Source organism: Homo sapiens, chromosome 3, assembly GCF_000001405.40.
Source record: "Homo sapiens chromosome 3, GRCh38.p14 Primary Assembly".
In the NCBI taxonomy this organism is placed as follows: domain Eukaryota; kingdom Metazoa; phylum Chordata; class Mammalia; order Primates; family Hominidae; genus Homo; species Homo sapiens.
In genome coordinates, this window is record NC_000003.12 from 55,881,756 (window position 1) to 55,894,019 (window position 12,264).

A 12,264-nucleotide genomic window follows, 5' to 3' on the forward strand; every position below is an offset into this window, starting at 1 on the left:
GATGTTCTTAATATGCTTTTAATAAAATTCCTTTAAAATAGGAGTAAATGTAACAAAATTGAACAATTATGAAATGTTTTAGCAAGAAGTTTTGGATATATTTTAAGTACAAGAATAATCTTATACACAAGGAAAGGTGAATATTATGTACTATGAAAATATATGGTTGGTAACTGTTAGTTTCTTCCAGCAGAGGAATAATAACTGGCAGTTAGAATATCAACCAATAAAGACCAGACTGAAGAAGGGTATTGCTGTGGTTTGAATATTTGTCCCCTCCAAAACTCCTATTGAAATTTGATCCCAGGTGGGGCCTAATGGGAAAACGGTGTTTGGGTTGTGGGGTGAATCCCTTGAATAGATTAATGCCCTCTCCCTTGGGGGTGAGTGAGTTCTCACTCTGCTAGTTTCCCTGAAAGAGCTGATTGTTAAAAAGAGCATGGCTCTTTCCCTCATCTCCACCTTGCTTCCTCTCTCCCCATGTGATCTCTGCACATACAGCTTTCCTTTCCCTTCTGCCGTAAGTGGAAGCAGCCTGAGGCCCTCACCAGAAGCAGATGCTGGCACCAAGCTCCTTGTACAGCCTGCAGAACCATGAGCCAAATGAACCATTTTTCTTTATAAATTACCTAGCTTCAGTATTCCTTTATAGCAACACTAAATGGACTAAGCCAGGAATGTTGAGGGAAATAATCATACACATGTATACAATTGGACTTCTGTATACATAGGTTCCACATTTGTGGATTCAATCAACCACGGATCAGAAATATTTTTGGAAAAAATGCATTTGCACTGAACATGTACAGACTTTTTTTCTTGCTATTATTTCCTAAACAATACAAATGTAACAACTATTTTCATAGCATCTACATTGTATTAGGTATAAGAAGGCAGGAGATGATTTAAAGCATACAGGAGGATGTGCGTGGGTTATATGCAAATACTATGCCATTTTATATCAGGGACTTCAGCATCTGTGGATTTTGGTATCTAAAGGAGGCCCTAGAACCAATCACCCACAGATACCAAGGGATGACTATAGAATCAAGGCTCTCCTTTTGAATCAAGTTGGCCTCAGTTCCTAAAAGTGTTCCCACATTACAGGAAAATACACCACACTTTCCATGTCCCTCCATGCCCCAAATAAACAAGAGGGTCCTTACCTTTGGAAATGACTTTCTAAGTGGGATTCCAAACCTCTTTGGTTACATAAGAAACTACTTTATCTATTTATCTATTCATTTATTTGCTTATTTGTTTATTCATTTCCTTCACTCATTTTACTAAAATGCAAGCTCAACAAGGTCAAGTTTGTTCATCTAAAAGAGTACCTAGCACATAGTAGATCATCAGTGAATATTTATACATTTTTTAACTAATTCATCCTTTCATTTTTCAAATACTTTTTGAGTGCCTACCATGTGACAGATTCACAATATCCAATATTAAAAGAAAATTCCACTGTAAATAAAATCACATCGTGAGAAATCTTTACATTGGAAGAATCAGGCAATATTTACTCACTCTAAATCCAGTTGGCATTTAAAATAAGAGAAGCCAAAGAAGAATGGTAGGAGAAAATGTAGGTCAGTGTGGCACATGTCCCAAAATGATATAACACAAAACAGAACTTTGGGTAAAAATTAAACAGCCTAAGAGTGGATGTAAGTATAAAAGGATAGTACCAGAGGTCATTGTGATGATTAAACAGTTCTGCATCTTGACTGTGGTGGTGGTGACACAAATCAGCACATGTAATAAAAGTGGATATAATTAAACATACACACACACACACACACACACACACACACAAGTGCATGTAAAACTGGATAAATTGGAATAATGTTAAGGCCGGGTGCAGTGGCTCACACCTGTAAGCCCAGCACTTTGGGAGGCTGAGGCGGGTGGATCACGAGGTCAGGAGATCGAGACCATCCTGGCTAACAAGGTGAAACCCTGTCTCTACTAAAAATACAAAAATTAGCTGGGTGTGGTGGTGGGTGCCTGTAGTCCCAGCAGCTCGGGAGGTGGAGGCAGGAGAATGGTGTGAACCCAGGAGGCAGAGCTTGCAGTGAGCCAAGATTGCACCACTGCACTCCAGCCTGGGCAACAGAGTGAGGCTCCGTCTCAAAACAACAACAACAACAACAACAACAACAACAACAACAACACCACAAAACTGGAGAAATTGGAATAATGTTAATAGATATGTAAAACTGGAGAAATTTGAAGAAGGCTGGTAGATTGTACCAATATCAATTTCCTCATGTGATGTTGTACTTTAGTTATGAAAGATGTTACCAATTAGGGAAATGGTTGAAGGATATGAGAACCCTCTTTATAATATTTCTTGCAGCAGCCTGACAATCCACAGGTATTTACAAATATGTTAATAAAATAAAATTAAACAGCAGAATGCTTATCAGAACACTGGAACTGACACAGATGCCCAATAATGATGTAAACCTATATGACAGTATATTGAGTAATTAAAAATAATGCAATCCTATGTTTGCAACATAGAAGGTTGTTCACGTTCACAGAAGAAGAGGCACTTGCAAAATAGGCAAGTACAGTCCAATTTTCTTTACAAAATAAGGAGCATTTGCAAAGATATACACCAAAATGCCATCAGTGTCTCTCTCTCCATGTTAGGATCATGAATAATTTTTTTCATATTGTTTCTTTATACTGCCTCTTTTTTTTCCCTTAAAATGAACAATATCACCTAACAAACATCTAAACAAATATCTATCTTTGGATGGGGTTCAGGTAAATTCTGTATAGCTCTGGAACAAAAACCAAGACAAATGGAAAGACATTTCAGTTCAATATAATGACAAATGAGCTACCTGTAAGAGCCATGGAACATGAACCACCACCTTATGAGCCCATGGCCTGCCATGGGAATGGTATTCACCAGGGCCTGGTGAATTCCTTATGAGTAATCCTGTGAATGGGAGACAGGCTTCTGCAGGCTGAGAGGTTGGACCCAGTTGCTTTCCAATTCTAAAACTCTGTGCCATTTGGTTTGCAAGGAATTTAACAGATACCACCTCTCCTTTCAAAAGCCCCCTTTAGGTTTCAAAGCACTTTCACATGTGCTGGTTTATATTAATTTTAGTTTGCTGCTTAAAAAAAAAAATCTTATCCCTACAAGAGTTCTGTAGAGTAAGCAGGGCAGGTATTATCACCTCCATTTTACTGAAGAGAAAACTGAGGCAACCAGAGAGTGATGTTTAATGTTATGGGGTGAGACAGAAATTAGTTATGAAATCACAGTTTCTTTCTCTTGACTCACGGCCTCACCCCTCTTCCCTCTAACATCACACAGCCTCTCCCTTCCCACCAGGGTTTGGAAACTGGGTAGACCTGACCTAAAGATGCCTGTCTAAAGATAATGGGTGCTGGTTGAATGAAAAACCAACAATGCTTGGCACAGATGATATCAACTCACCAACAATGATAATACCCATCTGACTGTTCCCACGAACTTATGTGGACTCAATCAAAGTCAAGTAACCAGTGTGTCAATTCAGCTTAAACACTGTGACTGAACAAACCAGTGGCAAACTTGAACAGCCCAAGAGGCTGGTGCCTCTAGTTGAGGATCTCAGTCAATATACTTGCCCTGTACCTAAGTCCTCCCATAGTCCCAGGGCAGAAGCCCACAGGTTGGGCTTCTAGGCCAGTTAAATAGTGAATAGGGCCCATATCAGGCTTAATGAAGCAGGGCTTTGTTACTTTCACCAAAGGAATTAACACAGGAATTTTGTATTTATTTTGCAGTGGCAGCAGATTAAGCACTTCAGCAATAATGTGGCAATTCACCAAAAGAGGTCTTAGTTAGGTGCTATCTGAAACCATGAAGTTAAGTGGGAAAACATACACATGGAAAAAGTTTATATGTTTTAGAAAAATAAATCCAAATTTTAGATAAATGATACTCTTCACAAAGTATGCTAAACAGAGGACATATTTTCATTGGCTGATAGTGCCATTTGCATACATATATCATTTTCTGTGTGCCAAACTCTCTGCTGAGAACCCCTCCTCACAACCACCCCCATTCAAGTCATTACAGGAGGAAACTGGAAGGTTAGTGAGGTTAAGGGCATTTCTCCCAAGTCACAGCCACCAGGTGGAAGCAACAGGATTCCACCCTGGGTCTGATGACTCACAAACCAGCATATTTCACCATTACTTGTTCTCTCAAAATGTTGAAAGTATACGCTCCTTTTATAAACAGGAAGTAATTAAAATTTCTTTATAATAGCATAATAAATCACTTCAGGAGATGGAGAGTTAACTTGAGAACAGCTGGAAAACAAGGAGAAAAACTAGGCTGGACTTGACACATAACACACAGGGAGGAAGACGAGAGACAGGTGAACAGGAAAGAATACAGGCTGATTGAATCAATGGACCCATATTGCTAATGCACTAATACTAGTATTGGCTATTGTTGATAAATTATTTTTATTCTATACTACATTTATTATGGAAAGTAAAATGCAAAAAACATCATATGATAAATTTTTCAAGGGTAAAACAAACTTATAAGTTGAATTTCAGTATTTTTAATCTCCATTCAAAAATCAAATCCAAAATGAAGGTGGAAGCATATGCAATTCCAAAATCTTTCTCTATTCTTATATAAATCATAACATTCCATATTGTTTTCTAGGAAATGAATTTTATTGGTCAATATCAGCAAGATGGAAACTTTCTCAAATAAACCATTTTATGAACTTTGTATATAGACATTATAAAAATACATAACTTTAGATTCTAACATGAATACATTCATAAATGGACTTTCCACTTTGAATATTGCTGTTTCTTCAATTATTTAATACTACACTATATTTTTGGTGTTTCTCAGCTAAGTGTTTACACATATATTGACATTTATAATTTTTCTGGGTGTCATTTAAATTCATACACATATTCCACAACTAATTACATAAGTTAATCTTTTAAACAACAGTAAATATTGGCAAACATCAAGATTTTATATATGCTGTGCTTATAAACATGTATCCTTTTAACAGTGTTAATAAATTATTGATGAAGGTGATAATATCGCAGATACTTAAAATACTTTTCTTCTTAGCTACATAAAATTCAGTCTCCAGTATTCAATCTAGTCACTCACTCAACAAACCATTGAGCACCTATCACATTCAAGACACTGTTGTGGGCAACAAACAATCATTGAGCACCTCCCATGTGCCCAGCACTGCTCTTGTCTGCATAATGACTACAGTGACTCAAACAGACAAAAGTTCTAGTCTTAATGAGTTCACATAAACTCCTGGAGAAAATTAGATAGCAGAAACGGAGGTTGAGGTAGAAAACTGGTTTTGTCATGGCCAGATGGCCTTAAGCAAATTATGAATCTCTCTGAGTCTCAGCTCCCTCACCTCTGAACTGAGTATAATAATACCTGGTTTTATTATATTATCTTTTATTAGAAAAAATGCTAGTTTATATGTGAAAAAAACCCTATTTATTCTTTGGTCTTGGAGAAACTGAGGTAGTTGATGAGGAATAAATGTTTTGTCCTCATTATTAAATCCTTCAAAATATTTCATTCCAATATTTTCCATGATCTAAGCTTTCTGAGTTTAATGCTAACCATGTGTAAGGCTTGCTGGGTCACGATAAGGTCACTTCCATACCTAGCCACCAATTTCAAAGTCTGTGTTATAGGCTTAAGATGCCGTAATTATGTATGTTTCCCCTTACTGTGGAGGGAAGTTAGATTTAAATTATAATTTAGTGATGATTTCATTTAAAAACATAGAGACGCTCCTTCTTGACTAGTTCTTCACAAACAGACCTATTGCAATTGATATTTATTAAAATTTCTCAGTAATTTTCTTTCCTATGTTATTCCATGATGATGCTCTTTCATTGTGAGAATGAAACAAGAGTGAGGTGTAGGTGGGTGTGTCACAGGACCACAGGAACAACCATTTCCCAGCACTCAGCCCCATGTCATTGATTAAATCAAAGGAAGCAATTGGTTCCAATCCAATCTCCCTGATTTAGCTTCCCAAGCCCCCACCTAGGTGGGGTGTGGCGGGGTGTGGGATTTCTAACCTATTTTTATAAGCCCAGCAAATCAAAGTTTCACTTTCTGAACAAAGAGGTGCCAACCTTGAGACTCTGTGAGAGTCAACACAAACCAGGCATTGTGCACAAGTGAGAAGAATATAATTAGCAAAGTTACAGTCACAATTAGGAAATAACTCCTCAGAAAAGTTTCCACTTAACTCTGAGCAGCGCTCAAATTACCATTGTGCTTAACGGGGCCTCCATCTCTTGGCTGGCTCAGACCTTTCCAACAGATCTATGAATCCCAGCACCATCCACACAACACAGACACCCAAAATCTAGTGCTGGATCTATATTTTTTTCAATAACAGATGTGAGAAATGTGCAAATTGAGACACCAAAGTTACAATTAAAAAATAAGAAACATACTTTCAGAAATGACCAGGCAAGTGTGAGCTAAATTATTCTTTTTCTGAGCTCTTTCTTCATCTTCTCTAGCCCTTCCCCTTTCCCACTCTCAAGAGAGGCTAGAAGAGAGAGGCTACCAAAGCAGCAATGGGTACTCACTTCATCTCCAGGATCTCCTCCAGCTGTTTCCTCCTCTCAATCCGGAGGTTGGCCAAGTGCGCTTCTTTTTCGGCCAGGGACTGTTGTGTGGAGGCGAGGCGTGCTTTGGTGGCATCCAGTTCCTGTCTGGTCTTCTCCAGTGCATTCATCAGTTCCTCTATCTGAAAGGCACATGGAGCTCTGTGTGTTATTTCTCCTTCATTCAAGCACAAGACATCCCTTGTTAGCCTGTGTTCCAACAACAAACACAAAGGAATCACAGGGATCCTTGAACTGGGCCGCTGTGTCTTGGAGCCCTTTCTTTCTTTGTCATTGAAACTATGAAAATGCAAATGCCTAAGAATGATATAATGGACTCTGGGGAGTTGTGGGGAAAGGCTGGGAGGGGGTTGAGGGATAAAAGACTACACATTGGGTTGAGTGTATACTACTCGGGTGATGGTTGCACCAAAATCTCACAAATCACCACTAAAGAGCTTACTCATGTAACCAAATATCACCTGTTCCCCCAAAACCTATGGAAAGAAAAAATTAAAACAAAACAGAACAAAAACCCTTAAAAAATGTTTCAAACACAAGAAATGTCCAAATTTCTCCAAGGTCCTTGTTCAATTGGATTGCCCAATAACCTTTATAAAACTACTTAATGTGTTCACTAGAATTGGGGGTGAGTGGCTTGACCCAATTTCAACCTCTGTTTGGCAAAAGTCTCAGATACTTTCTCACCATTGAAGGAAGGCAACACTCAAATGCATTTTGCCCAGCACAATATACTTTTGTGTGTAGGCCCCAGAGTACTTTGAAAGAAAGTTAATCTATGTGTTTCAGATTCAGTCACGTTTTAACCTATCAAAGCCGTGTTTGGTAAAAGCTATTCAATGTCCAGGGAGCCTCAGGAGTCCCTCTCACCTCACCTCCCAGCTTTACATTCAGGAAGCAAGGTTTGGCCAAAGGTAAACAGAATTCCAGCCACAAAAGGTTCAAGTTTGGTTTGCCCCTGAAGTTTGAGAGGGTTCTAAACTTGAAATAAATGACATGTAACTTTTATAGGGTGCTAATACACCATAGAAATAAGCCAGACTATCAAATATCCACGGTTTTCAGCCAGGTCCCAAAAAATGAGACCCAGGAGCCCTGAGGCAAAGCCTTATCCTCCCCAAAGCTTTGGGGACTCTTAAAAGCCAACACACAACAAAGAAGGCTGGTGTTTATGGTTCCGTTCCAAAGACTTCCGTGGAGCAAGCTGGTGAAATGCCATCCCTTGCACAGATGCAGGCTGTGTCCTCCCTGCTGATCCAAAATCATGATTCCAGGAAGTTTCTAGATTCCAGAGCTGATGTTTGGCTTTCTAAAATACCCCTTCCAGCTGAACTTGGCAGAATAGGCTCATCCATCACTAAAGTCAACAGAACGCCCTTCAAAATGTGTCAATGACATGTTAAGTTCCAATTCATAAAGACTTTCTACACAATTTCTTCAGTTTTACATGAAATTTATTCAGAATAAGCATTATAGTTCACATCCAAGGTAAATTATATGCTTTTAAGATTCAGAAAACCCTTCATTTTGCCCTGATAAAAAGAGGAAACTGAATGATCATGTAGTTTAAATCAAAGCCAAAACCAAAAAGAGTTTAAAAAGCAAGGAATATAAAGAATAACCTATGAAAGTGACAAAACCACCCCTATGTAACTGTAGAGTAAATTGAATTATTCTTTAACTTTACAAATCTATGCAGTTTAAAAAGTATTAATAAACTTTTCAGTTTCTCATATAAGTTCACAGAACATCACAAATATGACTAGAAGCCCAAAGCAATATGTGACGAAGTTAAAGCGGAGTTTTGAGTTTTCCTCCCTTTTTCTATTTTTGATAGAAAATAGCAGTGACCCCCAAAAAATCAGAATTATGATCATTCCATATGCCAATTCAGATAGTCTGCCTGACCCTCCATATGAGATGGTCTGTGTCCTCATGATTCCTTTTCTGTCATAAATCGTTCTTTATTTCAAACATAATATTGATTTCAGAGGAGTGGGAGGTCTCCATTATTCTCATTTGTTCAATCTCTCTCTCATTCATCGAAGCTGATCTATCTGCAATCTATAGACACAGAGCTACTCAGCTGGGTTTCCAAATCTTAGATCACCTGCCACTGGACCGCTTAGGGCAAACACTAGCTAGTTCTACATTAACCCAACTTTAAATGACACTTTAGAGTAATGATTTCAGGCTGCTCCAGCCATTTCAGCAAGAAGCACATGGAGAAACTGGGCACCTGGGAGACACAATACAGAGTTGTAACTGATGGAGAAGCCACTGGCCTCCAACATCAGTAACTGCTAGTATCAGATGAGACGAAACTGCTCCTCTCAACATCTTGGAGACAGAGTTTTAAAATAAGTTCCCAGGCCAAGCTCCTCACTCTTCCTAATTTGTGTGGCCCTGGACCGAGGACCATGTGGGGCACTGGCCTCAGAACACATCCTTCTAGTTTTAGCATGACCACTGCTTCTCTCTGTAACTTTTTGCAAACAATCACTATACCCTCGGAATCTCAGTTTCCTAGATGATGGCCATGGGTTCTTCCTGTGTTTAACATTCTAGAGAACTGAAAACTGTTTCCTTTGCTGCCAAAACAAGGGCCTTAGAAAGCAAAAAATATCTCCCCTGCTGGGGTGATCATTAGGGTGGTTTCACAATATTCTAGTTCTCTTCCTTACAGGCACATGGTAGGACCCCACATCCCCTCACCCTTTGAATTGGGTGTGGCTTTGGCCAATTAAAACCACTGTCATTTCCAGGTAGAAACATTTAAGTGGTAGCATTCAACTCCAGTGTTACCCTTTCCCTGCCCTGGTGACCGTGGAAGCAAGTTTCAGATGACATCATCTTCAGCCTGAGTCCCTGAGTGACCACAATGAAGCCCAGGGCAAACCCACATCACATAGGCAAAATATAAACCTTTGTTGTGCTTTGCCTCTGAGATTGGGGGTGGTAACTCCCAGCATAACCTGGCCTATCTTCACTGGTGAACTGTCTGGTTCTATTTTTTTTTTTTTTTTTTTTTTTTTTTTGAGCTGGAGTCTCGCTCTGTCACCAGGCTAAAGTGCAGTGGCGTGATCTTGGCTCACTGCAATCTCTGCCTCCCGGGTTCAAGTGATTCTCCTGCCTCAGCCTCCTGAGTAGCTGGGATTATAGATGCATGCCACCACGCCCAGCTAATTTTTGTATTTTTAGTAGAGACGGGGTTTCACCATGTTGGCCAGGATGGTCTGAGTCTCCTGACCTCATGATCCACCCGCCTTGGCCTCCCAAAGTGCTGGGATTACAGGCATGAGCCAACTGTCTGATTCTTATCAAGTGCTCTATGCTTGCCTCCATCTCCCCATCACAGTCATCTCTCAACCAGAGGAAAGTGCTTGTTATTCTTGCGGTCCCATGGTATTTCTACTCTTGCAGACCACAAGTAACTCCCTTCTTGCCAAATGTCTTTTCTTAATGTGTGGTTTGCACAGCTAAACATGCCCCCAAGTCTCTGTCCCTTCTTTGAAATAACATTTTAACTGATTGACTGTACATATGTAGTTTGTGTCTTCATCACCAGATTGGAACCATGGCATTATTACGGTGTGAGTGAGATGAGCTCCTTCATCTTTCTCAGCTTCCATTTCCTCATCCATATTTACCTCAACAGGTAAATAGGGAACCCTATTGCTTGCTTATCAGATGATTATGGGCACATTAAGTGAGATGATGTAGCCCATAAGGCATTTATTCTTCTTCTTCTGATATCAAGAAATTAATTTTTTTCTGATAATAAGAATAAAGTGTGGCCAGGGACAGTGGCTCACACCTATAATCCCAACACTTTGGGAGGCCAGGGCCAGTGGATCATTTGATCACAAATGGTGACCCCAGGAGTTTGAGACCAGGCTGGGCAACATGGCAAAACTGCATCCCTACAAAAAGTAGAAAAGAAATGTAGCCAGGCGTGGTGACACGCACCTAGAGTCCCAGCTACCCTGGGGGGCTGAGGCAAGGAGATCACCTGAGCCTGGGAAGCCAAAACTGTAATGAGCTGTGATTATGCCACTGCACTCCAGGCTGGGTGACAGAGTGAGACCCTGTCTCAAAGAAAAGAAAAAGAATAAAGTATATTCATTGTAAAAAATATGAAAAATCCAGGTATGAAAATGTTTTAGCTTTCTTCTGAAGATTAAATACTAACATCATTTTTAGTTAAGATCCTCCCAAGTCCCACCACCTAGAAGTAAACATTATAAACATTGTTATAATTTCTCTCTATATTTATGCACATATAATTGAGATGCTACATATAAATATATACATAATTGTGTATATAATTGATATATGATGAGAATTTTCTTTTGTAATTAAATTGTCTTTTGGAAATACAGTTTTAATATATGAGCAGTGCTCTATCCACTCCTCATCTTCCTAAAACTGATGCTTCTCTTAGTGTTATGGTCTCAATGTTTACGTACCCCCACAATTCATATGTTGAAATCTTAACCCCCAAGATGATGGCATTAAGGGGTGAGACCTTTGGGAAATGATTAGGTCATGGGCGCAGAGGCCTCCTATATGGGATTAGTGACCTTATGAAAGAAGCCCAATGGAGTCTGTATGTCCCCTTTCACCATGTAGGGACACGGCAAGACGTCAGCAGTTTGCAACCCAGGAGAGGGCCCTCACCAGAATCTGACCATGCTGGCACCTTGGTCTTAGACTTCCCAGCCTCCAGAATGTGAGAAATACATTTCTGTTATGTATAAGCCACCTACTGTATGGTATTTTGTTAGAGCAGCCCAAATGGACTACGACACTTAGGAACTTATTCCCCTGTTTATTTTGCAAATTACTCATCTTCCTGCAGCCCATAACTGGGTCTTTCTCCTTGTGACTCCATCCTAGAGGCATTTCCACCATCCACATAGAAATACAGGGGATGCATTGAGGTCTGTCTCTACAGTTCTCACCTCTATGTAGATGTCTCTCCAAACTTTATCTCCTTTTTCCTCACTTGACCTCTTTCACATGTACCTAACCACCTGTTGATCACTTCCATCTGGATGTCCTAATATTACTTTAAATTGAGGATGACCAAAAGCCAACTCTTGACCCGTGTACACCTGCCTAAACCAAACTCCTATCACCTGTCCTCACCCTCCCAACTTGCCACTCCCTAACACATCCACCATTTTGGTCCAAGGCCCTGACCTTTTCTCAGTCATTCCTGTTTAAGACCTCAGAGCCACATTGATCTTCTCTTTCCTCTTTTATTTTCCATTCATCACCAACTCCTAGAGCTCTATTTTGGAAATATTTCTTGGATCCATCATTCCCTTCTATCATTACTTTTGACACCCCTCCCACATGTATAATAAGGTAGAACATAATTATGCATGCATACACATATGTATGTATATGTGGGCTTTCACATGTGTGTGCATATGCTCATGTGTGTATCCCTAGCCTCTGACTCTACTCTTACCCCTAAGTGAGGACATGGTTTTGCCTGATCATCTGTAACAATAGTACTTATAGTATTATATGAAGCAATGATTGCAGAGCTCTTAGTGCTGAGCCTGGCAAATATGAAAACAC

The 12,264-nt window shown here is 39.6% G+C and overlaps 1 protein-coding gene across 20 annotated transcripts in view, besides 1 other annotated feature; it reads right to left on the minus strand.

Annotated features, from left to right (window-relative positions):
- ERC2 (ELKS/RAB6-interacting/CAST family member 2) overlaps window positions 1-12,264 on the minus strand; it is a 960,157-nt gene that overhangs the window by 373,445 nt on the left and 574,448 nt on the right. For all 20 annotated transcript variants that reach the window (NR_132749.2, XM_017006156.2, XM_047447950.1 and 17 more), the window contains one exon: window positions 6,634-6,794. Coding sequence is in view for 19 of the 20 variants with exons in the window: in XM_017006156.2 (XP_016861645.1) it covers window positions 6,634-6,794 (161 nt within the window). In the remaining variant the exon portion in view is untranslated. The remainder of the gene's footprint in view (window positions 1-6,633; window positions 6,795-12,264) is intronic.
- Window positions 6,684-7,195: an enhancer, noted in NCBI's record as "NANOG hESC enhancer chr3:55922467-55922978 (GRCh37/hg19 assembly coordinates)". NCBI's record gives its function as "activates a minimal SCP1, AML or CMV promoter by ChIP-STARR-seq in primed H9 embryonic stem cells {active_cell/tissue: H9 hESC(primed)}" and the evidence as "EXISTENCE:reporter gene assay evidence [ECO:0000049][PMID:30033119]".